This window comes from Homo sapiens, chromosome 11 (assembly GCF_000001405.40).
Source record: "Homo sapiens chromosome 11, GRCh38.p14 Primary Assembly".
NCBI classification, from domain to species: Eukaryota; Metazoa; Chordata; class Mammalia; order Primates; family Hominidae; genus Homo; species Homo sapiens.
This window is the reverse complement of record NC_000011.10, coordinates 88301572-88329258: the sequence shown is the minus strand read 5'-3', so window position 1 is coordinate 88329258 and position 27687 is coordinate 88301572. Positions and strand designations below refer to the sequence as shown.

General features: G+C 38.2%; 1 protein-coding gene across 3 annotated transcripts in view, besides 3 other annotated features; it reads left to right on the top strand.

Annotated features, from left to right (window-relative positions):
• CTSC (cathepsin C) overlaps window positions 1–27687 on the top strand; it is a 44145-nt gene that overhangs the window by 8478 nt on the left and 7980 nt on the right. Inside the window, exons 3-4 of one of the 3 annotated variants that reach the window (NM_001814.6) lie at window positions 16705–16871; window positions 19941–20096. In NM_001814.6, the coding sequence (NP_001805.4) occupies window positions 16705–16871; window positions 19941–20096 (323 nt within the window). Of the gene's footprint in view, window positions 1–1062; window positions 1148–2815; window positions 8449–16704; window positions 16872–19940; window positions 20097–27687 lie in introns of those variants that run through there. The other 2 variants (NM_001114173.3, NM_148170.5) reach the window with 2 other exon arrangements.
• Window positions 16171–16371: a silencer, noted in NCBI's record as "peak1386 fragment used in MPRA reporter construct". NCBI's record gives its function as "represses an SCP1 promoter by STARR-seq MPRAs in K562 erythroleukemia cells {active_cell/tissue: K562}" and the evidence as "EXISTENCE:reporter gene assay evidence [ECO:0000049][PMID:32103011]".
• Window positions 20823–21778: an enhancer, noted in NCBI's record as "OCT4-NANOG-H3K27ac hESC enhancer chr11:88040649-88041604 (GRCh37/hg19 assembly coordinates)". NCBI's record gives its function as "activates a minimal SCP1, AML or CMV promoter by ChIP-STARR-seq in naive H9 embryonic stem cells {active_cell/tissue: H9 hESC(naive)}" and the evidence as "EXISTENCE:reporter gene assay evidence [ECO:0000049][PMID:30033119]".
• Window positions 25796–25855: an enhancer, noted in NCBI's record as "active region_5380". NCBI's record gives its function as "activates an Ori minimal core promoter by ATAC-STARR-seq in GM12878 lymphoblastoid cells {active_cell/tissue: GM12878}" and the evidence as "EXISTENCE:reporter gene assay evidence [ECO:0000049][PMID:35858748]".

The window sequence follows — 27687 nt, the reverse complement described above, 5'->3', positions numbered from 1 at the left end:
CCGCCCGCCTGGACCTCCCCAAGTGCTGGGATTACAGGTGTGAGCCACCACGCCCAGCCTGAATAGGCTTTCTAACCTACTGTTTCTCATTTTACTTTCTCTGAGGCAGTAAAAGAAACTGACTCTAAAAGGGAGCAGTAGAGAAGGAACTCAGATTTTATTTTGAAGATTAAGCTACTCAAGGGCTGAGGAAATATGTAGAGGGGAAGTAGACTCATTATGGCTGGAAATTTTATTTGGTGATAGTGAAGCAAATCTTAGGGCTTTCTAATTGAGCTCTTGTTTGAAAGGCTCCAATCTTAATAGAACTATAAGCTAAAAAAAATGACCATCAGTGTTTCTAAAGCAAGTTGCTACTCAAAACAAGAACACTTTGGGAGGCTGGGGCTGGTGGATCACCTGAGGTCAGAAGATGGAGTCCAGCCTCAACATGGTGAAACCCCTCTATACTAAAAATACAAAAAGTAGCCGGGTGTGGTGGTGCACGCCTATAGTCTCAGCCACCTGGGAGGCTGGGGCAGAAGAATCGCTTGAACCCGGGAGGTGGAGGTTGCAGTGAGCTGACATTGTGCCACTGCATTTCAGCCTGGGTGACAGAGTGAGACTCTGTCTCAAAAACAAAACAAACAGAAACAAGAACTCTATGTTGAGAAATCCATACTAGAGGGTTTAATTTCTCACTTTGTGTGCTAGTGATTAATAAATTTCAAGCTTATCACACAGCCAGAAATGTCGCCTGTGTTTCTACAATAAAAGATTTGGGAATATTGTGACATTTTTTCACTGAGCCTTCTGGGTTCATTATTAAGATATAACAATTTTAGAAGACTTATTGAGATAGGTATACTTTTTAAAATTTGGATTCAATATATCAAGCTCAGCATTTTGTCTTTTTTTTGTTTTGTTTTAAACAACTTTGGGTTTACTTGTAAGAGTATTTCAGTGGAGGAAAAGTATCAGAAGTTTAGCACTGAGTGCCTGCCTAACTATTTTATGTCTTCTTTCATGATGATGCTTAATCTCAACATAATGACTCAGTTTACCATTGTAAACTCTTTGTAGGATGTCACTGATTTTATCAGTCATTTGTTCATGCAGCTGGGAACTGTGGGGATATATGATTTGCCACATCTGAGGAACAAACTGGGTGAGCTCCATTGAAAAATTTCTAACTTTCTTATTAAAAGCAAGCTTCCTCACTTCCTGATGGCTTATGCAAATTAATGCCTATTTATTCATCAGAGGGTGACTGGAGAGATTATGGTTTTCTTATGAATTTCTTGCTTGAGCCTGCTTGTCTGCTGTTTCTAAGTTGTCTGCACTATTTTATGTGAGTAATTTTCTACTTTATTATGTTCTGTTTTCACATGTCAAATCAGCTCTCCCAAGAATGCTACTTGTAACCTAAGTAGACGTGAACCGAAAAGGGTAAAGACCCAGCTAAAAAAAAGGTTGACTCAAGTTCAGTTCACATTCGTAAAGTAGTTAGGCTGCCTTAGGTTGCTTATTCTTTTCTTGAAAAGAATCCCTCAAGAGAGAAACATGTGAGGCCACAGCAGCTTAGATCTGTCTTCCACAGAGAAGGTGGCTTTTACAGAGAAATTGACATACTCATCACTTATCTGACATGACCCAGCTTTGTAAAACTGGCTTCTATTAAAATAGTCTTAATAGACTATTCACTGAGGAGGAGAGAATCTTATTCACTCTTTACATTCTCTTCACATTTTCAGAATAGATGTTTAAATCATTGCTCACACTGGATCCATAAATGTCTAAAATGTTGATGAAGAAATAGGTGATTAGAGAGTAAAATTAATAGAGACTTACCCTTCCTTGCATTTTAACATAATATTCTTTCCCCTTTTCCTTCCTCTGTTACTTGGCTCTTAAATACCAGAAGTGAGATATGAAAAAGGGAACTGGGAACAAGTATTGAAAGCACCATAGGTTTATCTTATATTAGCATTTTCCAAACTTTATAATGAACCAGCAGTGACCCACACATCTGCCAGGTAGGAATTGCTCATCAGTTGTGTCGCGTTATCTTGTTAAGCTTCAGCAATGTTCCATACAGCCACTAATAACAGATCAAAGTGAGCATTAGGGTTGAAATTAGTAAGCTGTTTCTTCTCAGTTCTTTCTGGTAGTTGAATAAATATAGAATGTATTAAATAGTTTTCTTTATTTCAGAACTTCTCAGAGTCTGTAATATATTGTATGGTGGTAGCTTAGGAGGAAGATGCAATAGGAAACTTTTCCCAGATAGGTTCACTATTTTTTTTTTCCACGAAAAATAAGCTGTTCTCAAAATACAGTTTACAAAATTTTATCCTTAACTCTTCACTCTTTCTCCTAGTTAGGGAGACCGCTCCACCAGTAGAAAAGATAAACCCTGGTAATTTGTTGTGTAAATGGGATAAATAGCCTAGTACCTAGTCATGTGGATTCAGGCAGCACTGAGCCTAAATTAAAGTTTGCAAGGTATACATGTTAATGTATCTAAGTTACTATATTTAGCCTGTTTCTTAAGTATGTTTCAGAAACATATTCGTTTTTTTCAGTGGCAGTTACCTTCAGATGCATGTGCTTCTAAAGCATGTTGGTTGCATGTGCAGTACATGTTGCTTAAGCATTTAGCTTCAGAATGGCATCTTTCCTGTGAATGTCTTAACATTTACAAAAATATACCAGGATCTCAAATATCAGTGCTGGTATTTTTTTTTTTTTTTACTTAAAGAAACTGATATGATTAAATATTAAGAGACAATATGATCCTTGTTGGCTTGTAACCCTAGTTTTTATTGTCTTGTAGTTATTAAATAGAGCATCTGTTGAGGGACTCTTTTAAAACCACAGCCATGAACAGACGTTGGGGCTAAGAGACAGAGCAGCCTGCGACAGTGTGGACCTACCTGTAGCAGCTAGCAAAGGCCTCTAGCAGCTACAGTCCCTTCTGGAGTCTTTATTTGCATGCAAAATGCAAAGGAGTCCTGGTGACCTACCTCCAAGGCAGCTGCCCTCCTGAACACTCCCTTGGAAAACAGTAAACATCATTTTGGAATGTGAACAACCAGAGACTACACAGGAGAAAGGAAAAAAAAATTCTGAAGATGCAAAATCTTGGGTGGCTTCACCGTTCAGTTTTTTAATAAAAGGAACAATATACAACACGTTGTTCTTTTTCTCTTTTGAAATCCCTTCTATTACAGTGATTTTTTTCTAAGATTGTCAGGATTTGAAGTGTATGTTTTGTTTTATTCACAGCGTAAATTTTATTCACAGTTTAACTGTCTGCCTGAGTGTCTTTCCTTTCTCTAATTACCTTGAGGAACCCAAGAGCCTGTTGTAAGGAGAAAATAAGGCCCTTGGATCTCTTGAGATTCACAGATATAAGTTATTGAAGGGAAGATGGTCCTATGGAGGACATATTTAAAGAAGGGAAAAAAGAGGCTTTCTCAGATATGTCAGACTGCTATAGTATACTTCTACAGATTATAGACCTCCAGTACCTCTGGCCAGAAAGATGGTATCGTAAACACCCTATTTTTTTTCTTTTCTTTTTTCATTAGGTACAAGCTTTGTGCTAAGAAGTTGACATACTATAAGCTACAAAAGTTCTGTAAAGTAGATATAACTAGTTTCATTTTATAGATAGAGAAAATTAATCTCTTACAGTGCTAAGCTCACAGAGTTTCTAACTGTAAAATGCTAGAACTTGTCTTTCAAGCCTAAAGACTTCCTTGGGGCTAAATAGTGAAAAAAGCCATTTCACAAATAAGTAAATGGTATTTAGAGGCATATTTGGATTTCCTGGTAAATTCCAGTCTGTGAGCATCATGAATATTAGTTTAATGTTGCATGGGCTCATGTTGAAGTTTTAAGAGAAGAACTGCCTTGAAGCTTAGGTTTCCTTAGCTATTAGGCTACTGACTTTCTTGCCTAAACCAGGGTTTTTTCATTGAAGACCAAAACTTACCTTCTCCTTCAGTTTGTAGTTTGGAAATTGGTAGAAGAGCTTTGTAAACTTCAAATTAAGTACAAACTAAGTGTCATAGTCAAATTTACTAATCTTAATTACAGTATTGTTCAACTGATTGCTATCTTCTAGCTCTTTCCTGCCGAATAATGGTCTTGTTTCCTGCTCTGTTGGTTTAGAGCTGACTTCTTTCAGCTTTGGTAAGCCTGAAATTATGGGGTTATGTTTAATTCATATTGTCTGGGTGGACTTTCCTCTCTTGCATTTCTGCTTGAATAGAAGAATTTTTCTCTAGAGAGTAGTTTGTCATCCTTACTCTGTTGATTCAGATGACTCTTTGTATGATCTGAGAGGTATACTGTTCTGCTATTCTGAGAAGAAGTATTTCAGAAAGATGAATTAAGAGTACAGTGGACTGCTCCCACCTGGAAACTTTTATCTATCTCACCTCTGGACCTGATAAATTCTTTATCACTCAGGACCTTGATGACGCTGCTCTCTGAAACCCTCCCCAGCTCTCTCTATTACCGTGAGAAACATCAGAACTTTGGTTCCCATTGCATATCGCAGGTACCTCTGCTTTCATGCCATGCTGTAATGGAGTGATTGGGTAGCATGTTTTCATCTCTTTCCAGATTGAAAATCTGTATTTCTCCCTGTATATCTTCAACACCTAATGCACATAGAACTTTGTAGGTACCTGGAAAATGCACCACAGTTTTCTTTTCTTTTTGCAGACTTTTCACAAGTATTACCAACTTACAAAGAATTAATTTTGTAGGATTCTAGAAAGACAAATCAGGAATGGTGCCATATACATCTTTTTTGATTCCCTGCTCTAAAGAATATTATCAGGTTACCTTCCTGCAGAGTTTTAAAAGAATTGCATATTTCAAGCTGACTTTCAGGATGTAAATATAACCAAAGCAACTGATATGTAAAAAATATATTCAATGGCATTCCTAGATTTTCTTCTAGGGTGTTTTATTGTTTTGGGTTTTACATTTAAGTCTTTAATCCATCTTGAGTTAATTTTTGTATAGGTATAAGAAAGGGGTCCAGTTTTAATTTTCTGCGTATGGCTAGCCAGTTCTCCCAGCACCATTTATTAAATAGGGAATCCTTTCCCTATTGTTTGTTTTTGTACGGTTTGTCAAAGATTAGATGGTTGTAGATGTGTGGTCTTATTTCTGAGATCTTCATTCTCTTCCACTGGTCTATGTGTCTGTTTTTGTACCATGCTTTTTTGGTTACTGTAGCCTTGTAGTATAGTATGAAAGATAGCATGATGCCTCCAGGTTTGTTCTTTTTGCTTAGGATTGTCTTGGCTATACGAGCTTTTTTTTGGTTCTATATGAATTTTAAAATAGTTTCTTCTAATTGTGTGAAGAATGTTAATGGTAGTTTAATGGGAATAGCATTGAATCTGTGAATTGCTTTGGGCAGTATGGCCATTTTCATGATATTGATTCTTCCTATCCATGAGCATGTAACGTTTTTCCCTTCGTTTGTGTCCTCTCTCATTTCCTTGAGTAGTGGTTTGTAGTTCTCCTTGAAGAGATCCTTCACTTCTTCTGTATTCCTAGATATTTTATTCTCTCTGTAGCTATTGGGAATGGGAGTTCATTCATGATTTTGCTCTCTGCTTGCCTTTTGTTGGTGTATAGGGATCCTGGTGACTTCTGCACATTGATTTTGTATCCTGAGACTTTACCGAAGTTGCTTATCAGCTTAAGAAGCTTTTGGGCTGAGATGATGGGGTTTTCTAGATATAGGATCATGTTATCTTCAAACAAAGACAATTTGACTTCCTCTCTTCCTATTTGAGTACGCTTTATTTCTTTCTCTTGCCTGATTGCCCTGGCCAGAACTCCCAATACTATATTGAATAAGAATGGTGAGAGAGGGCATCCTTGTCTTGTGCCAGTTTTCACGGGGAATGCTTCCAGCTTTTGCCCATTCAGTATGATATTATCTGTGGGTTTCTCATAAAAAGCTCTTATTATTTGAGATACGTTCCTTCAATACCTAGTTTATTGAGAGTTTTTAACATGAAGCGATGTTGAATTGTATCGAAGGCCTTTTCTGTGTCTATTGAGATAATCATGTGGTTTTTGTCTTTAGTTCTGTTTATGTGATGAATGACGTTTATTGATTTGCATATGTTGAACCGGCCTTGCATCCTGGGGATGAAGCCAACTTGACTGTGGTAGATAAGCTTTTGGATGTGCTGCTGGATTTGGTTTATCAGTATTTCATTGAGATTTTTTGCGTCGAAGTTCATCAGGGATATTGGACTGAAGTTTTCTTTTTGTTGTCGTATCTCTGCCAGGTTTTGGTATCAGGATGATGCTGGCCTCATAAAATGAGTTAGGGAGGAGTCCCTCCTTTTCAATTGTTTGGAATAGTTTCAGAAGAAAGGGTATCAGCTCCTCTTTGTACCTCTGGTAGAATTCAACTGTAAATCCATCTGGTCCTGGACTTTTTTTCATTAGTAGGCTATTTATTACTGCCTCACTTTCATAACTTGTTATTGATCTATTCAGGGATCCAACTTCTTCCTGATTCAGTCTTGGGAGTGTGTATGCATCCAGGAATTTATCCATTTCTTCTAGATTTTCTAGTTTCTTTGCATAGAGGTGTTTGTAGTATTTGCTGTTGGTTGTTTGTACTTCTGTGAGATCAGTGGTGGTATCCTGTTTATCATTTTTTATTGTGTCTGTTTGATTCTTCTCTTATTTTTGACAAAGCTGACAAAAAGAAGCAATAGGGAAAGGACTCTCTATTCAATTAATCCTACTGTATATCTGGCTAGCCATATGCAGAAAATTGAAACTGTTCCTGTTTCTTAATCCATATACGAAAATCAACTTACGATGGATTAAAGACTTAAATGTAAAACCCAAAATTATAAAACCCTGGAATAGAATATAGGCAATATCATTCTGGACATAGGAATGGGCAAAGATTTTATGAGAAAGACACCAAAAGCAATTACAACAAAAGCAAAAATTGGCAAATGAGATCTAATTAAACTAAAGAGCTCTGCACAGCAAAAGAAACTACTGTCAGAGTGAACAGGCAACCAACAGAATGGGAGAAAATTTTTTCAATCTATCCATATGACAAAGGTCTAACATCCAGAATCTACAAGGAACTTAACAAATTTACAAGAAAAAAGGAGCCCCATTAAAAAGTTGGCAAAGAACATGAACAGACACTTCCCAGAAGATATTCATGTGGCCAATAAACATGAAGAAAAGCTCAACATCACTGACCATTAGAGACGTGCATATCAAAATCACAATGAGATACCATCTCATGTCACAATGGTGATTATTAAAAAGTCAAACAACATGCTAGTGAGGTTGTAGAGAAATAAGAACGCTTTTACACTGTTGGTGGGAATGTCAACTAATTCAACCACTGTGGAAGACAGTGTGGTGATTCCTCAAGGATTTAGAACCAGAAATATCATTACTGCATATAGACCCAAAGGAATAGAAATCATTCTATTACAAAGATACATGCACATGTATGTTTATTACAGCACTATTCACAATAGCAAAGACATGGAATCAACCCAAATGCTCATCAGTGATAGACTGGAAAAAGAGAATGTGGAACATAAACACCATGGAATACTATGCAGCAATAAAAAGGAATGAGATCCTGTCCTTTTCAGGGACATGGATGGAGTTGGAAGCTGTTATCCTCAGCAAACTAATGCAGGAACAGAAAACCAACCACCACATGTTCTCACTTATAAGTGGGAGCTGAACAATAGAACACATGGGCACAGGGAGGGGAATAACACACACTGGGGCCAGTCAGGGGGTGGGGGGTCAAGCTGAGGGAGAGCATTAGAAAAAATAGCTAATGCATTCTGGGCTTAACCCATTTATGCCTAGTGTTCCATTTCTGGAATGCTAAGCATGTGGAAGTTCTTTATATCCTGCTCAAGGTCATTGCCAAGGTCTGATTTTTCACATTCAACAAATTGCAACCTCTGGCATAAATGGGTTAATACCTAGGTGATGAGTTGATAGGTGCAGGAAACCACCATGGCACATGTTTATCTATGTAAGAAACCTGCACATCCTACACATGTACCCTGGAACTTAAAAAATTTAAAATATATATGTATATATATTTAATATGGAATTTTAAAAATTACTAATGAGTTCTTTTATCTGAGTAATTTTGCATCAACATGCTTTTATTATGGAAGAGAAGATTCAGTGAGTACAAAATTGCAGATACATGTGTCAGAAGATCCCTGAATATAATAAGGCTTAGTATTCTGTGTCATAATTGCCTGTTTGTATTCCTCTCTGGTCTTTAAACTTCATTAGGGCAAGGATCAACTCCATCTTACTAACCATTTGATTCCCTATGTATTACACGATATATGACCAATAATAAGCCTTCAATAAATACTTGTAAAATAAAGAATGTTATGTAATATATCATGTGGTATTGTTTTATTGATGTGTTCTTTGAAGTGTTACCTTTGTGTCCTTAGAGGCTATGGTGGGCCCTCAGGCCATATATGTTGGATGATTTAGTGGAAAAGAGATTAGACTTTTATATTTTATTCTATTTATTTATTTATGTTTTAATCTTGTGTAAGCCTATAGAGGCCAAGATAGGGCTCAGAGTTAAAAACAGTGATGTTCTAACTTTCAAAACTACTAAAAACAAAATTAGCTATCAAGGGAAATCCTGAGTGTTCTGACTGCAGGGGTTCCCCAAAGCCTGGAGGACCGAAGCTTTGAAATGCTGCATGGTGTGCCTCACCTCTGTTGAGTATAGTGAGGAACATGAGCTGAGGAGTGGATTAGATGAACTCTTAAGATTTTTTTCCAACTTTACGGTTTGAGTTTATGAGTAAGTAAGTGAGGAATGAGCCCAGGGACTTTGACTACTTTGCTGTGCAGTAAATTGCTGTTTTCTTAGCTAATTCTGGAGTGTGTATTTTGGTTTTAATGTAATGTCCTTTCAGCACTGGAAATAAACAGATTTATGACCCTCCATTTTCACATGTAAACTTCCAGTTCCTTCAGTAAAATGCTGGAAGTTGCTTGGCTGTAACCACTGTAACTATTTCCTGGCAGTTTTGCATTTTATTACAATTCGACTTTTTAAATGCATGGTTCAGTCCAGTTAATAGGCAGAAAACTATAGCTATTCCTTGGAACTGACATAGGGAAGTTGGTTTCTTTCTGAGGAAAGATGTGACACTCTGATGGATTTGGCAAAATACCAATTCAGTAAAATTTGCCTGGTTCCTTTCTGACAGCAAATGGAGGTAATTGTACGTATATAGATTTCTACAGTAAACAAAGGGCAAAAATGGAAACATTTTTTGTTTTTTAATGTTGCTGGAATATAATATTTCCATATTTGGTTAATCATCAAATCATTCAACTCCATGCAAAGTACTCTTTTCAAAATTACAAATCATCTTGATGGATTAGACTTGGATGTCTAAATTTTTTATTATGTATTCTAAATTATCTATAGGTACATTTTGAAAATTATATATACATGTATCACTGTACTACATTTGTTATAAAATGTGAAATATTAAGCGATTAAATACTTTATTAATGTCATAAAATTGTGCCCTACCCAAAATATATTTTAAGAAGATATCATTTGAAAATAATGTAAAATATTCTTCATTATTATGATTTTGTTGCCAAAAGTAATGTTAGAGTCCCTGTTACTGATAATTTTCATGACTGTAAATTTTCAACATTTGGAAACAAAATTTTCTGATGTGTTTTAAAATCTTAAAGAATTTCAGTAGATTTTGACACATTTTTGTTAAAAGTATGAAAGTGTCACAGCTTTAGAAGGATTTAGAATAATTATCAATTGGTATTAGGGATGACAATTTTAATAGACAAATTTTAACTGAAACATTTGCTTTATTGATGTCTAGGACTAAAAAAAATATTATAGTGATGGAACCATTTCAAAACATCTGTTTTTAAAAACTTCTGTCAACATGTTTGACAGAAGTCAGAATAGGGTAATTATAAAAAAACTGCCATTTTCTTATGTTTGCATCATTAGTATTTGCAAATCCTTGTTTCTTTGCAAGTATATTTTAAACTACTTGTTCATTTTATGAGTGTTAGCCTGATTAATTCAGATAAGATGCTCAAGTCAGTTTAAGCAGGCAGATGTGAAAAAGGGAATATGCTGTGCCTTAACTATCTTATAGGGACTTACTAGCACACTGTACATAACAGATGAACATCTGATATTAGATCTGATGGGCACACCAATGTTGTTTCATATATTAAATAATAGTGGAAGTTTTCAATTTAATTAGTTTATTTATTTATTTATTTATTTTTGAGCCGGTGTTTCCCTCTTTTTGCCAAGGCTGGGGTGCAATGGCACATGGTTGCAGCTCACTGCAATCTCCACCTCCCAGGTTCAAAGGATTCTTCTGCCTCATCCTCCCAAGTAGCTGGGATTACAGGCGTGTGCCACTATGCCAGGCTAATTTTTGTATTATTAGTAGAGACAAGGTTTCACCATGTTGGTGAGGCTGCTCTCAAAATCCCGACTTCAGGTGATCCACCCGCCTCAGCCTCCTAAAGTGTTGGGATTACAGGCATGAGCCACTGCGCCTGGCCAATTGTATTTTTATGTTAGAAATATATATGGGAGTTACAATACTTTGTTTCCAATGTTCCGCTGGAAACCACTGGTTGAAAGGATAGGTCCCAGTGTCAGCTGCCCAGTTGGCAGTTTTGGATAGAATATAAGTTCTATGAAGGCATGGATGAAGTATCCTTCATGGTAATGATGGTAATGTTAGTATAGTCACTTGTTTAATGTTGTATAACTTTTTAACTCTTCCAACTTCAATTTCATCTATATCTTTCATAGCAGTCCAGTAAAGTAGTATCAATTATAGATATCATTCCTACTTTCAGATAAAGTAACTGAGGCTCACTAGTTTTGACTTGCTCAAGGTTACGTAAATGATAAGTGACAGACTGGATTTAAAGGGCGGAGTCCACTTTACTAAACTGCCTCTGTCTTCTAGCCAAGTTTGTTATGTAAAGTAAGTATTCAGACATTGGCTAAGTATATTATTAATCAAGAAAACAGTAGAACAGGTTTAAGGAATTTTTTTTTCCCTCTCCTCAGTGTCAAAAAGCAGTCAAGTAAAAGATCCAAGATAAATAACTTCAGTTCCCAAAAATAACTTCAATTCCAAAATTTCCCTATGACTAGGTATATCTAATTGGATAGCTGATAAAATGAGTGGGAAATTGAAGAAGGGATATTTTGAGAATGTGTGGCAACTTAATGGTAATATTGAAGAAGCAAATGGATAGTTATTGAATCATAATAGTTTTTTAAACTTAAATACTAGGGCTTGATCTTCATATTTTAGGAAATTATCTATTTGTTGCAGTAGAAATTAGCATAAATGAATGGAAACTTAAATTATCTCATCTGTGCAAGGCAGTCTTCAGAGACTGATGTTTATATAAGTGAAAACTCAGAAAAATTTTTTGGCTGCATTTCAAGCTGGATAGCGGGGTCAAAACTTCAACTTCTTAATTGGTGATACAACGTCAGAAATCACAAAAGAAGTATTTCACAGGAAAAAATGACATACCCCGAAAACATTCAAATCAAGAAAATCACAGGGGTACAGTGGATGGTCCCCCTTAAGGTACTGCGTACTTGGCTTCCCCGCTGGTAAATGCCTCTCTTTTACTAAGTTGTTGTCGTGCAGAGTGGCATTGCAGCTCTGTACTTTTACAGAATAATTTCAGGTTCTAAAATTGATACATTATTTCAGATTGTAAGAATAGTATAAAATAAAATTTTAAAAGGGAAAATAATTCCATCAATTTAATGGAATGTGTAGGGTTTAAGTTATAACAACAAAAACAAAGTTGTAGTTTTTTAGGATTACTCATATAAATAGTGTGTCTATTAAGAATTACTGGCTTTATGAATATTAAATAAGAAGGCTGGCCGTGGTGGATCATGCCTGTAATCCCAGCACTTTGGGAGGCCGAGGCAGACGGATCACCTGAGGTCAGGAGTTCAAGACCAGCCTGGCCAACATGGCGAAACCCTGTCTCTACTAAAAATACAAAAATTAGCCGGGCGTGGTGACGCATGCCTGTAATCCCAGCTACTCAGGCGGCTGAGGCAGGAGAATTGCTTGAACCCGGAAGACGGAGGTTGCAGTGAGCTGAGATCGCGCCACTGCACTCCAGCCTGGGTGACAGAACAAGACTCCATCTTGAAAAAAAAAAAAAATTAAGACAACCACAGATATAAGGATTTGCAATTAGAAAGCTTGAAGGGAAATTTTTGGAACTTCTAGGTCAACCTAAAATTACAAATAGGGAAGCAGCTTTGGAGAGGAACATTTGCACTTCTGAAGTAATACTGTGATTTGGACTGTCAGACATTGTGATATATTGGCATCACCACACCTCTGTTAATTATAAACTTACCTATTCTCAGTGCCTTGTTAACTGTTGAAATAGGACTTGACATTTGTTGTTCTTCCTCTTCTGTTATTCATTTATTCACTCATTTAGTAGTTAATTACTTCCTAGTGCCAGATAGTTTTCTAGGTACTGAATAAACAAAAATCCTATTGTCATAGTTATGTTTTTGTGGAAAGAACAACCTGATAGACTATCGTGAAAAATAAATGAGTTAGTATACATAAAACACAGCCCATGAGATATAGTCTGTAATTATCATCCCTGCTTCATTTATTTATTTATTTATTTATTTATTTAGAGAATGGATCTGATTCTGTCATCCAGGCCGGAGTTCAGTGGCTGGATCATTGCTCACTGTAACCTCAAAACACCTGGCCTCAAGTGATTCCCCCAACCTCGGCGTTCCAAAGTGCTGGGATTAAAGGCATGAGCCACTGTACCTGGCCATTGCTCCTGTTTTAAAGATGAGGAAACTGAAAGTACAGAGAGGAACGTGACTTGCTCAGGATCACACAGCCAATCAGTGGCAGAGCAGTCTAGGCAGTCTAGGCCTGAAGGCATTATTCTTTCTTTCTGTTCTGCGTCAAAAACCCTAGGCAGGCATGGTAAAAAGACTGAAAGAGCCAAGGCAACATAGGTACCTGAAGAATGGGAGAACACCTATGAGGACTGCTAGAAATTTTAGGCAGCCCTTTAAAGGCCTTGGGCAACAATTTGAACGTGACTCATGAGTCAGTTAATTCTCTGCACCTTTTTTTTTTTAGAGAATACAATGGATAAAGCAATGACCTTTGTAACATGTAAACCTGTATTTGAATCCTTTCCTCTCCATTTAATTTTGCAGAGTCACCTTTTCTTCATTAGAAAGAAATTTTATCCCAAAGAGATTATCGTGAGGCTCAAATAATATAGGTGGAAGCCCTTTGGGTTTAAAAAAAAGCCTTTTCTGTCATTTCTGGGTATCTCCCGTCAGTGATTTTAGTAATTGTTTACCTCTCTGGCTCTTCGTGAGAAGACAAATTGTAGGAAGAAGTGGAGGATGGCATTGGGTAGGATGCTTAGTTCTAGTTCCACCACTTCCTTAGGTCTTTTTTTTGTCCCCCAAGACTATATCATTTCTGTGTTCTCTTGAACCTGTAAGATTTATGAGTAATCTGTACAATATTTATAAAGTATGAAATCTCTGCCATTGTGGCACAAAAGTAGCCATAGACAATGTATAAATGAATGGGCATGCTGTTCTCCAGTAAAACTATATTTATAGAAATAGGCAGTCTTCTCCAATTTTAGTTTGCTCACCCCTTTCCTATAGAACTCAGGTTTATCATATACAATGTTACACATTATTCCTTTGAATAAATTGTTTACCTAATACTTTTTAAATTTGGGCATTTTCTAGGACATTCTATTGTTTTTATTTTTAACTTGTGTTATACTGCAGTGAATGTCTTCCTGTGTGTAGCATTTTGTTTGTGTATGTGTGTCAATATCTATAAAGTAGCTCTTAAGAACTCTGGAAACATTGTCAGACTGCTTCCTCAAACAGCAGAGGTGGGAGGGAGCATCGGCCTAACCCTACCTGGCCTGCCTTACCAGCATGCAACCAAGGAGAAGAGAATAGGATCAAGAGCCAGTGCCAGAGAGAAGTACATAATACAACTTTATGGAGTTTAGGTTGCATCCTATAAAGTTACCATGTTACACTGTTTCGATCTACCAAAGTAGAAGTTTTACATAGTTTAGTATGAAGTTAATTTTATTAACCTTTTCACACAACACACCCTCTCATATTGCTGCCCAACAATGTCCTGGGTCTTTGTTTCCATGGTCATCATATTGAGTAGGGTTTTAGCAGGGACTTGAGTAGTTGGGAACTGAACTCATGCTAGTGAAGCCATTCTTCACTAGAAGCAGACATATGGGATCCAGAATATCATGAACAACCAGCTGGGTACAGTGGCTCACACCTGTAATCCCAGCACTTTGGGAGGCTGAAGGAAGCAGATCACCTCAGGTCAGGAGTTTGAGACCAGCCTGGCCAACATGGTGAAACCCTATCTCTACTAAAAATACAAAAATTAGCCAGGCCTGGTAGCACATGCCTGTAGTCGCAGCTACTTGGGAGGCTGAGGCAGGAGAATCGCTTGAACCTGGGAGGCGGAGGTTGCAGTGAGCCGACATCTCGCCAGTGTACTCCAGCCTGGGCAACAGAGTGAGACTCTGTCTGAAAAAAAGAGAATATCATGAATATCACCAAAGATAAAAGCAAGATGCGGATATGAGTAGCCCAGAGTAACTTTTCCTGTGCTATATAACACAGTGAGTGGTGATTCCCACAATTCAAGTCCAGTTTTTCTGGATTCTAAAGCCATACATTTTTAACTCTCCCCCTAAATATGATTTGAATTCAGAGAGTCAGATGCAATAAGGTAATTTTAACTTTAAGTGTAGTTTAGCCCACACATTTCTCTAAACTGGGGGTTGGCAAACTACAAACCTCTTTTTGTAAGTAAAGTTTTATTGGAACACAGCCTAGCTCATTCATTTATGTATTCCCTTTGCACCTTTTAGGTTGAGTAGTTGTGACTGAGGTCTTCCAGCCTTCAAGCCTAAAATATTTACTATCTAGTCCTTCAAAAAGAAGTTTGCCAACCTCTGCAAACAAGTGAAATAATGTGTATTAGAGTAGAGCAGGAGTCCACAAACTACAACCTCTGGAGCCAAAACCACCCTACTGTCTGTTTTTGTAAACAGAAATTTTATAGAAACATAGTTGACCCCTGTGCCAATTTGTTTGAGTCTTGCTTTTGATGGCTTTTGTGCTACAAGGGCAGAGTTGAACAGTTGCAAGAGAACTAAGTGGCCTGCAAAGCCTAGTGGTCTTTGCTGTCTGGCCATTATAGGAAGTGTTTACCAAACCCTGCATTTGATCATGGAATCCCAGAATGTTTATACCTTTGAGGATTTTTTTTTCTACTTTCCATATTTTACAGGCAACAGAACTAAAGCCTCGTAAAATCTTGCCCAAGGTTCTACAAATAGTCTTTTCTATTAAATTAAGTCAGAGCCTGAAATTGTCTGTGCCCAAGTCTCTCCTCAGAAATTTAGCACAGCATTTTCCCTTTCTGTCTCCCACATGCTACACAGTCATCCTGGATCATGTGCCCCGCCTCCATGAGGAGATGTTCTAACATGAGGGTGACTAGGCTCTGGAGCCAGAGCATCTTAGTTCAAATCCTGGATCTGTTAAAAATAATAGTTATTTTTCAGTTCTAACACTGAAATAAGACAAAAGGCCATATTACTGAAATAAAGTGTAAAGAATATATTTAATACTCAGGTTACTTTAGCCCCCTCATGATCAGAATATGCTAATAAATTGAGAGATTGACAGAAAAAAAGGATTCTGTTTCACTGTGGCTCACACCTGTAATCCCATCACTTTGGGAGGCCGAGGTGGGTGGATCACTTGTCTGGAGTTCAAGACCAGCCTGGCCAACATGGCAAAACCCCGTCTCTACTAAACAATACAAAAATTAGCCAGGCGTGGTGGTAAGCACCTTTAATCCCAGCTACTCGGGAGGTTGAGGCAAGAGAATCGCTTGAACCTGGGAGGTGCAAGTTGCAGTGAGCCAAGATCACACCACTGCACTCCAGCCTGGGCAACACAGCAAGACTCCATCCCTGGAAAAAAAAAGTTCATCATTTGTTCTTGTAGTTTCCTAGTGTGGCCCTTGTCTCAGTGGAAAATTGTAGTGTGATAGACTGAGGAGAATTCTGTTTCTGCCACTTCGCCTGTTGCCTTGGTAGGAGCTCCTTATCTCTGAGCTGAGCTCCTTTTGTCCTTGGTAAAATGTGGTTATTATCATCTGCATCCTCATAGTCTTCTTGTAAGGACTGTGAAGTCACTTTTGAAAAATGCCTTGAATATGCCAGATGGTCTGTTTTCTTTCTTTTTTGTTTTGTTTTGTTTTGTTTTCCCTTGGCCTTCATTCCTGGAAGTGTTTTGTTATATACATTTTGTTTGGTGGCCAACAGTGCTAACCACAGAAAAGTTTGTATGTCTTCTTTTTCTAGAATAATTCTTACAGTGTAACCTCTCAGGGTGAAGTTTTTGTTTTGAAAGGGGCACATTTACTGTGAATGAGAGCCATGGAAATGGACCTGAAATTTGAAGACAGATTTTACTTGGTTTTCTTTTCTCTTATTTGTTTGCAGTATAAAGAAGAGGGCAGCAAGGTGACCACTTACTGCAACGAGACAATGACTGGGTGGGTGCATGATGTGTTGGGCCGGAACTGGGCTTGTTTCACCGGAAAGAAGGTGGGAACTGCCTCTGAGAATGTGTATGTCAACATAGCACACCTTAAGAATTCTCAGGAAAAGTGAGTTGCTACAAATGAGACATACGTTTAGTTTTGTTTTATAGTATATATGAATATGTGTGTACATTTTTGGAATTTTAGTTTGATTATACAAAATATCTTTGGCTTAGAAATATTAGGCATGCTATGTAAAACCTTACTGGAAAAATAAATTGACCAACATTATTGAGAGTATTTTTTCAAAGTGTTCCAAAAGTAATGGACCAATGATTACTTTAAATGAAATCATGTAATGGACCACAGAATTGCAAATTACTAATAAAGAAAAGCCATTTTGCTTATTGCCATGTAATAACATGTTGCATGATACAAGTAGATACGTATGTTTATGCTGCAACAAGTATAGGTGATACTAATTGGGCAACTTTTAAACAAGACCATAAATAACTGAAATCAAAGTTCTTAGTATTTATGCAGCCTGTTGGTTTGCGAGGGCTGCCATAACAAAGTACCACAGACTGGGTGGCTTAAGGAAGGTTGTTTTTTCACAGTTTTGGAGGCTAGAAGTCCAAGATTGAGGTGTTGTCAGGTTTGGTTTCTTCCAAGGCCACACTCCTTGGCTTGCAGATGTCTGCTTGCTTACTGGGCTCCTAAACAGTCTTTTCTGATTGTCCTAATGTCCTCTTCTTATAAGGGCATCAGTCATATTGGATTGGGGCCCACCCATATGACCTAATTTTACCTTAATGACCTCTTTAAAGCTCTGTCTCCAAATACAGTCATATGGCTGTGATACAGGGGGTTAGAATTTCAACGTATGAATTTTGAGGGGGACACAATTCAGACTATAAACTGCAGTTAATGTTTACTGTTAAATTAAATCTATAACTGACTAAACCACACAAACAGGAGATTTCAAATTAGACTTTATTAGTTTTGGAAGGAAGAGATGAAATGTTGTTACTTTTTCTGTTTTATGTAGTTGTAAAAGCCACTAAAAATGTACATGTACAAATCATCCCAAGCCAGGCAACATTAGTAATGAATGACTGCAGCACAGAGGTAAGAGAGATGATTTAAAGGAGGATGAATTGTCTGCAAAGGTGCTGGGCAAGATCTAGACTAATTCATCCCCTTCATTTTAAGTTTAGGTTTTAAATAGCTTTGTTTGGCTTGATCCTAGAGCTACACATTTACTTTTAACTTGTTTACTTTGTACCCTATCATTTAGGATATGCTATGTACTATTGTACTCTATTTGATATTTCAAACATTCTCTCATTTAGTGAAGAAGCTCCCAACCGGAGTGCTCAGAACCTACATTGCCTCACCTGTGAAGTGAGCATGTGGGACTGAATTGCCTTTGAGGTCTCTTTCAGCTCTTAATGATCTGTTATCCCATAGTAAGATACATTATTTTTAATCTCGTTGGATCTTAAACACCAAAAATAATAGTATTTAAGACGTAGGATGCTATCTTGTCATTATTTTAATGCACATGTCAACACACGAGGTTTTGCTAGATGTTATGATAAAGCAAGCGAAACAGCAGGCTACTGCTCCTCAAATATCTACAGTCAATGAAATATTGACTGGCGTTGTGGGAAAATATCTCAAAAGTATTTTATTTACAATTTAAAATATATTCTTTTGCCTAAAGAAACAATGAAACAACTATAACTTGTTTTTGTTATTGTGTTAGTGTAGTCATACATATGATACAGTTTTATAATCTGCTTGATAAGGGTACGTCTCTGGGTTTTTCACACTTTGCAACAAGTGGGAAAGAACTTCGACAAAAACATTAAAACATTATCAACCTGGTTGCACGTTTTTCTGATTATTTTCAGTGCTCTTAGGTTTTTAGACCATATCAAAATTCTCTCTCTACACACATGATTTATAAGGGAAAGAAAAGTTTGCAGTATGCCTAAAATGTTCCTCAGGTTAATTATATCTTGTTTTGCATAGTTGAATGTTTATGGAAGTCTTAGATAGTGAGTCACTCTGAAACCACAGACTCTTTTTTAATAGTAATAATATGGTGAGTTCTATAATTCCTAGCATCTAGCACACAGGTATGATAAATGTTTTAATTAAGTGAATAATCAGCTTCCTGAATTTTTCTACTTTGTAAATATGCTCTTTGTGTGTTGAATCTATTTACATATATATCCAAGCATTTGGCACAAGGTAAACCAATGTGGCTCAGATTTTAATGTTATTGTGAATCACTTGGGGATCTTGTTTAAAAAAAAAAAAAAAAAGGAGATTCTGATTCAGGTGATCTGGGCTGAGTACTTACAGTATGCATTTCTAATAAACTTCTGGGTGTTGCTACTGATATTGGTTCAAGAACTAAATTCTGAGTAACAAGTATAAACCGAATGTCCATAAAGTATAATTTCTTTTAGTATCATATGGTTATAATGCTTGCATTTTGTATATATGTTGCATACAGGTTTTGCTTTTCTCTTTTTTCTTATTAAAAAGGTTATAAAGGTACACTGTAGAAACTGTAGGGAGTAGGGGAAAGCTTGGCATCTCATGCCACCATTCAGAGGTAACCATGTTTGGCATTTTAAAAATGCATTTATAGTGTGTGTGTGTGTGTGTGTGTGTGTGTGTGTGTGCGCGCATACATATATATGTATGTATTATACATATACGTTAATATACATATAATATACATATATTACTGTGCAAAAGTTGATAAATTGATTATGATTATGTATAAACTTTGATATCTTCTCATATTTAATATAATATAGTTGTGAGCACTCTTCCATATCATTAAATAACTTTCTAGACATTTTAAATGAATATATAGAAAATGAAACATCATTAATCAGTCCCTTATCTTAGAATATTTATTTCGGTTATTTACAATCTATTAGTAGTTTAAAAGTACTTCATGGAAAATCCTTATACATGCATCTTAGTTAACTTGAACTTTTATTTTTAGAGAAGACATGCCAGGCTGTTCTAGGCTATTGATACATATTGCCAATTACCTTCCTGAAAGATTGTACCACTTTCCACTTAGGCACAGAGTGTGAATGCCTGTTTTAATTACTCTATTTACATCAGTAAAGACTATATCTGAAATTATCTCATTTTTGGGGACAGGTATTCTAATAGGCTCTACAAGTATGATCACAACTTTGTGAAAGCTATCAATGCCATTCAGAAGTCTTGGACTGCAACTACATACATGGAATATGAGACTCTTACCCTGGGAGATATGATTAGGAGAAGTGGTGGCCACAGTCGAAAAATCCCAAGGTAATCAAGCACACATTTTATCATTAATAAAAATATGAATGCTGAATACCATCCTCCCTCCTAAGCAGTCCTACCAGTGTTGCTCGCCATTTTATTGGTCATCCCAGTTGTAACTTTTTATGTGATCTGTTAACGATCTTTATCTCCTATTGATACATATTCTGTCACTCTCCAAGTCCTATTTATGAGTTTTTCTTTCACATGTCTGTTGTTTCCATTGCCCCCTTTCCATTTTCTACACTCTGGCATGCAGCTTTGTCCTGTTTCCCCCATGCTATGGATTAGCCTCCTGCCGGTAACCACCTGAGGGGTTCTTCCTGCCTGCTGCATAAAGAAAAACCATGGCAATATAGTAGAGAAAGAGCTTAAGAGACACTAGGCTGGCCATGCCACGTGGGGGATGGAGTTCATATTCAAATTATCTTGTCCAAAGCTCATAGGTAGGGGTTTTTCAAAGGCAGCTTGGGGGAAGGGGTGGGGGTGGCCAGGTAACAGATGCTTGCTGCTGATTGGTTGGGGTGGGTGAAATCACAGGGAGTTGAAGCTGTCCTCCTGTGGGCTGAATTGCTTCTAGGTGGGGCCATAGGAGTGGGGTTGCTGGGTCCAGGTAGAACCACGGGTGTCAGACATGCAAAAATAAAATAAAATAAAATAAGATAAGGTAAGATAAAATAAAATAAAATAAAATAATAAATAAAATAAATATAAAATTTCCCTGAAAAGATATTTCAAAAAGCCAGTCTTAGATTCTACAATAATGATGTTATTTGCTGGAGTAATTGATGGAGTTGCATGTCTTATAACCTCTGGAATAACGGCTGACAATCTCTCAAGTCTGCGCCTTAGCTGGACTCAGGTTCCTCTTCTCCCCACAGCCTGACTGCCTCCATTAGCTTCACAAAAGTGGTTGGGTTTCAGGGCAAGGCCCATTGTCATTTAAACTGTAGCCGAAATGACTTCCAAAGTTAGCTTGGCCCAATAGCCCAGGAATATTTAAGTGGAAGGCAAGATGGGGGATGGGTTAGCTTAGCTCTCTTTCACTCTCATAGTTTTCTCACTGGTATAATTTTTGCAAAGGCGGTTTCATGCCTGCCATCTCTTTCGTCGCTACCTCTCCCAGTTCCCATTCTTAGCTGTTTTATGAAATGCTTCTAGTTTCATCCTCTTATACCAAGTTCTGGGAGACTGATTTGAGTAATAATAAAACTCCAGTTTCCCATACAGCCGGCTCTGCGTGAATTAAACTCATTTTCTATTGCAATTTCCCTGTCTTGATAATCAGTTCTGTGTAGGCCGTGAGGAAGGAGAACCCGTTGGGTGATTACGAGACTGTGTTACTGCCCACTACCTAATGGATACATTTAGCCTGGTATCCAAACCCATCTAATTATGACCATAACTATATTTATCACCTTGCTCTGCTTTCAAACGATATGACACACAATGAATGAAAACTTTCATTTTTCATCTTCATTTGTGCTGTTCCCTTTGCCTCAAATAGCCCTCAACTTGCCTACAGTAACTGTAAAATTTGCCACCTAAAAAAAAATCTCAAAATCCTCTCTATGCTTTGATGTCCAGCAAAAAAAAAAAAAAAAAAAAAAAAGTTATCAGTATAGCTCTATTACTCTCAACCAGAGGTGGCATTTTTCATCTTTACCCATAAGCCCCATGGTATATTTCTTAGTTTGGGAAATTATATCATAATACTTTGAATCTGTCTAGTCAGAAATTTAGATAATTTAAAAAAAAATTATTTTTCTGAAAGTATAGCTGGATCTAGCTTAGGATCTACATCTATCTAATATAGTTCCTTAACATTTGTTAAATGGCCACGGATAAGTCCTGTAATGCCATACTTTGCTTTAGGATCATGTGACTAAGGGGTAAGGAATTGGAAAGCAATGGGGAGCTAGCAGAATTTGAAAAATTATATAGGTAGGTTATTTTTCCTTAATACATTGAAATAGCCTCAAATTCTCAGAGAATACAATGTTTAATCCTCTAATATCTGTAGAGTTCATGGCTCAAATTTGTATTATTTGAATAAACTACTAATAGATTAATAATTACTCAACTAAAACACTTTGAAATGTGAGAGTTCCCTTATCTCCCTCGCAGGCATATGACAGAGGTGTGGCTTCTCACACCTTTGGTTGCCCTTGCCCTACCACCCAAACCCCTAGGGGGAGCATGCAGAGGGGCAGGTGCAGAGGCCATGGGGGGTGCTTTTGGGCTCTGGCCCCACAGCAGTGTCTAGGAGTGGATGTTGGAGACTCCTGAAGCCCAAGTGGGCATGTGTTACAGTGTGCTCTTTCAGCTTAGCCGTCTGCAGATGGCTTGTGTTAATCAGGTCATTAGACCCCATGCCTTATTGCAAGGGCAGGGGTCCAATGTGACAGCCTAAGTTCTTGCTCAGTGTACCAGAAGAATTGGATCACACGTGGGCTGGAAGGATGAGCACAAGGTTTTATTGAGTGGTGGAGGTGGCTCTCCGCGAGACGACTCTCAGCCAGAGAAGGAGGATGGAGGGGAAAGGTGTTCTTCCCCTGGAGTCCACTTGTTCCTGTTCTCCTCTGGGTTCAAATACCTCTTCCCTCCTTTTCTGCTGTGCTGTCCCACCACTCTCCACAGCTCTGTGCCGCTCTGTTCCTCTGCTCCTCTGGATGTTCAGCTCCTTGTATCTGTGCCTGCTAAGATTTTGGGTTTATATGGGGGAAGGATGGGGGGCATGGCGGGCCAAAAGGCACCTTTTTTGGTGTGAAAACAGAAATGCCTGTCTTCTCTTAGGGCCTTAGGTCTTCAGGCTTGAGGGTGGGGCCTTTGCTGAGGGACCACCCTCTTCTACCCAGTATTTCCCTGTCTCCTGTCCATATCAACATTACTAACTTTTTCATCTGCAGACTAATAATGCTAAGGTGTGGCATTTTTCAACTGTGAGACTATGTGAAGGTTTTTCCTGTCCAACTGATGGCATCCTCCCATAATTCTACCCCTTTCTTAAAAGAATCTTTTGCAGTATTTCTCCAAGTTTATTCTAGAGAATTTCTTGTCTGTGAAATGCTCTAGTTAATCAAAATTGGAAAACGGAGCATATCATATCCCCTTCTCAAATTCACCAAAGTGAAGTCCTAATGTGTCTTAATGTATCTGCATGAGACAGGAAGCTGAGATCTATTCAACAACAAAAATCCAAACAAGCATCAAGAGGAGGAGTGTTAGCACTTGAGCCTAGGGAGACTGTGGCTCCTGCCTGAAAGATGGGAGCCTCAGTCACAGCTGCTTTACCAAGTGTCATATGCTATGTTTCTGAGGACTCCTGCTAAAGCTCCCTTCTCCCTCCAGCCAACCACTTTTGTTTTAGACAAGGGCTGGGTTTATGAAGGACTGTTTTCATGACTAAAGCTTTATAGAAGGTTTAAGATAAGGAGATGGAATTGAGTGAAGTAGGAAATATGAAAGCAGATATTATAATCTGGCTTCCTGATTTTTCACTAGCATTTTTGTTTATAAATTAGTTCTGTTCTAAGAATCCAATGACGTAATAGAAACTCTCAAAGATTCTTAACTTGAGATATAGGGAGTCTTTGAAACTGCTGAAATTACAGACAGCATTTATTGTTTATGAGCATTTCTGAATCTAGAGCTTTCACTAGATTTGTAAAGAATGTGGGCCAAAAGATTAAGAGCCAATCCTGTATCTTGTACTCAAAATGTTTGTAATTCTCACCTTTTTATCCCCCAGACTCCTCTTGCTCTCTCTTCATTTTCACAGTGTTACTGGAAAGGGGTCCTGATCCAGACCCCAAGAGAGGGCTCTTGGATCTTGTGCAAGAAAGAATTTAGGGCGAGTCCTCAATGCAAAGTGAAAGCAAGTTTATTAAGAAAGTAAAGGAATAAAAGAATGGCTACTCCATAGACAGAGCAGCCCTGAGGGCAGCTGGTTGTCCATTTTTATGGTTATTTCTTGATTGTATGCTAAACAAGGGATGGATTATTCATGCCTCCCCTTTTTAGACCATAGAGGGTAACTTCCTGACATTGTCATGGCATTCTTTTTTTTTTTTGACAGAGTCTCACTGTGTTGTCCAGGCTGGAGTGCGGTAAAGCAATCTTGGCTCACTGCAACCTCTGCCTCCTGGGTTTAAATGATTCTCCTGCCTCAGCCTCCCAAGTAGCTGGGATTACAGGCATGACCCACCATGCCCAGCCAATTTTTGTATTTTTAGTTGAAACAGGGTTTTGCCATGTTGGCCAGGCTGGTCTTGAACTCCTGACTTCAGGTGATCTGCCTACCTTGGCCTCCCAAAGTGCTGCAATTACAGATGTGAGCCACCAAACCTGGCCTGTCATGGCATTCTTAAACTGTCATGGTGCTGGTGGGAGTGTAGCAGTGAGGAAGACCAGAGGTCACTCTCATCGCCATCTTGGTTTTGGTGGGTTTTAGCTGGCTTCTTTACTGCAGCCTGTCTGTTCTATCAGCAAGGTCTTTATGACCTGAATCTTGTGCTGACCTCCTATCTCATTCTATGACTTAGAATGCCTTAACTGTCTGGGAATGCAGCCCAGTAGGTCTCAGCCTCATCTTACCCAGCTCCTATTCAAGATGGAGTTGCTCTGGGTCAAACACCTTTGACAACATCATTAAGCCTCAGTTCTCACACTGTTTTTGTTTTGTTTGTGTGTGCAATGATGGGCAAATCTCTGCCTTATAGGATGGTAGAAAAAAGGAACTTAATATTGTAATGACTGTTTTGTGCCAGATAATTGCTTTAAACTGTATCAGCATCTTATTTAGTCCTGTTAATGATATGAATGTTATCTTCATAACAGCTGCCATTTTATTAAGGACTTATCAGAGAAAAACACTGTTCTAAGCACTTGTTACCCATTATTACATTGAATTTTCATAACAACCCTTTGAGGTAAGCATGATTATACCCACTTTAATAGAAGTGAACTGTAGTTTTGTAATGTTAGGTTCCTTGCCAAATGTTACACAGATAGTAAGTGATAAAATCATATGCCCTGAAATTACATTATGCTGCCAAACTTAAATTTCTTTTTTATCCTTTATATTAGTATATTCTTAGGTTTAAACAAGACAACTAGTTAACACATACTAGATTTTGTCCACAGTTCCTGGCTCATAACTCCCATAGCCCTTGTCACTATCTTTTAACGTTGGGGCACATTAGGCCTCAGAAGTAGGCCTCAGAAAACAGAGTCTCTCTCTCTCTCTCTCTCTGATCTTCTTCCGCCCTCCTCTCACCTGCCCAGGGCAGCACTCTAATCTTCTCCTGCCTTTCTGATCTTGGGTCATAAGACCTTCATTTCCAAAGATGTCCTGTGTCATACCCTAAAGGAAGGAACACTGAACAGAGAGAGGCTCAGAAGAATCTGGACAGGCCTTGCTGTGTTTACATCATTCCCTTTATGTCCAGTCACATCTCTACATGGTTGTCAGTTGTGCCTATTTGATGAAGTCCCCATATAAGGCTCACAAGGACAGGGTGCAGAGAGCTTCCAGATAGCTGAACAAGTGGAAGTTCCTGGAGGGTGGCGTGTTCAGGGAGGGCATGGAAGCTGTGTGCCCCTTCCCCCATACCTTGCCCTACTCATTTCTTCATCTGTTTCATTTGTAGTATCTTTTATAATAAACCACTAAACATTAGTTAGTATTTCTCTGAGTTCTGTGAGTCACTCTAGCAAATTAATTGAACCCAAGGAGGGTGTCATAGGATCCCCACATTATAGCTGGTTGGCCAGAAGCACAGGTAAACAACCTAGGGCTTTCAATTGGCATGAGAAGTAGGGGGCAGTTTTGTGGGACGGAGCCCTCAGCCTGTGAGATCTGATGCCATCTCTAAGTACACAGTGTCAAAACTGGATTGGAGGACACCCAGCTAGTATTCACTGTGAAATTGGTTGCTTGCTTGATTTGTGGGGAAAAACCCACATGCATTTGATCACAGAAGTCTTTTGTGTTGACAGTTGATAGTGTTCAGTGAGAGAATTAAAAAAAAATTGAGTTTCTTCTTCAACATACTCTCTCAATGTGAAACCACAGAAACTATTTCCATTCAAAGATGGAAATGGTTTGTTTGCATCTTAGTTTTTATTTATACATCTTAGAAGAAATGTCCAAGCTTTGTTTTTTCTCTCACCCTATATATAAAATTACCTATGAGGCACAGATTTTTATGATCCTTGATTATATAGACTTTGTCCAAATTGTGTGTTTTATAGCATTACTGTAACTTGTTATAGTAATCTTTGTGTATATTATGTCTCTTAACATTGTCTTCCATATTGTTAATGACCATCTCATATTTATCTCTGTATCATGTATATCTTCAACCAATGTGACTGGCTTAGGAGAAAAAATTAGTGAACAATTAACTAGTGTTTGTGTAATCTATACAATTGTCAAGGTTACAATTGCTATTTTTGAAGAAATCGTTGTTGTTTTTCTCTTTGTTTCATCTCAGTTCCATTTTGTCATGTATTCTTTTTTTTTTTTTTTTTTTTTTTTTTGAGGCGGAGTCTTGCTCTGTCACCCGGGCTGGAGTGCAGTGGTGCAATCTCGGCTCACTGCAAGCTCCACCTCCTGGGTTCATGCCATTCTCCTGCCTCAGCCTCCCGAGTAGCTGGGACTACAGGCACCCGCCACCACGCCCAGCTAATTTTTTTTTGTATTTTTAGTAGGGACGGGGTTTCACTGTGTTAGCCAGGATGGTCTCAATCTCCTGACCTCGTGATCCGCCCGCCTCGGCCTCCCAATGCTGGGATTACAGGCGTGAGCCACCGCGCCTGGCCCCTTGTCATGTATTCTTAACCTGTGTTATATCTAAGAGAAGCTGTGAGAGACGGGACCATTTGTGGATAGGTGCAGAGGGCATGAAGTAGCCCAGAAAGAATCTTTGCCATTGACTAAATTTTAGCCTAGTAAAAAACATCTGGTAACCACTGAAAAACTAGAACAGTGTGATATGACAATGCCCAGTTGAATAAGAAATTCAAATAGTTTATAGTAACAAAAAATAATTTTTACCACATTGTGACTAGTGCCCTAAAAACAAATTTGAAGGAGCAGAGAGAGAGAGGAAGTGAGTTTTCGCTGGGGGCTGGTGAGTGGAGGCTACTTTATGAGCAGTTTTGAAAATTACAAGTTAGGGAAAAACTCTTAGGGGAGTTTTAAGTGGTGAGCAACAGGCACTTGAGGTTACAGGAGCAGCAGCATAAAGATATAGAACAGAGAGGCCATTTGGCAGTCTTGGGGAAACTCCAAGAAGTCGAATGTGTCTAAAGCTGTGGTTCTCTCTCTGTGTGTGTGTGTGTGTGTGTGTGTGCGCGCGTGTGTTTGTGTGTGTGTGCATGTGTATGTATGTGTGAAATCGCTAATACAGAGAAGCTGTTAGAACAATTTTCTCACTTCCCAAAAATGTCCGTTCATTCATGGGCCTAGGCAACTCTCCTTTGTGTGTCTTACAGCCCAACACTGTCATATAAGGTGTGGTTCTATAATGAAACAGTTTTATCTGTTGTTTACGGAGCTAGTCAGCCTGTGTTATGCTTGTTACTGGTTGAG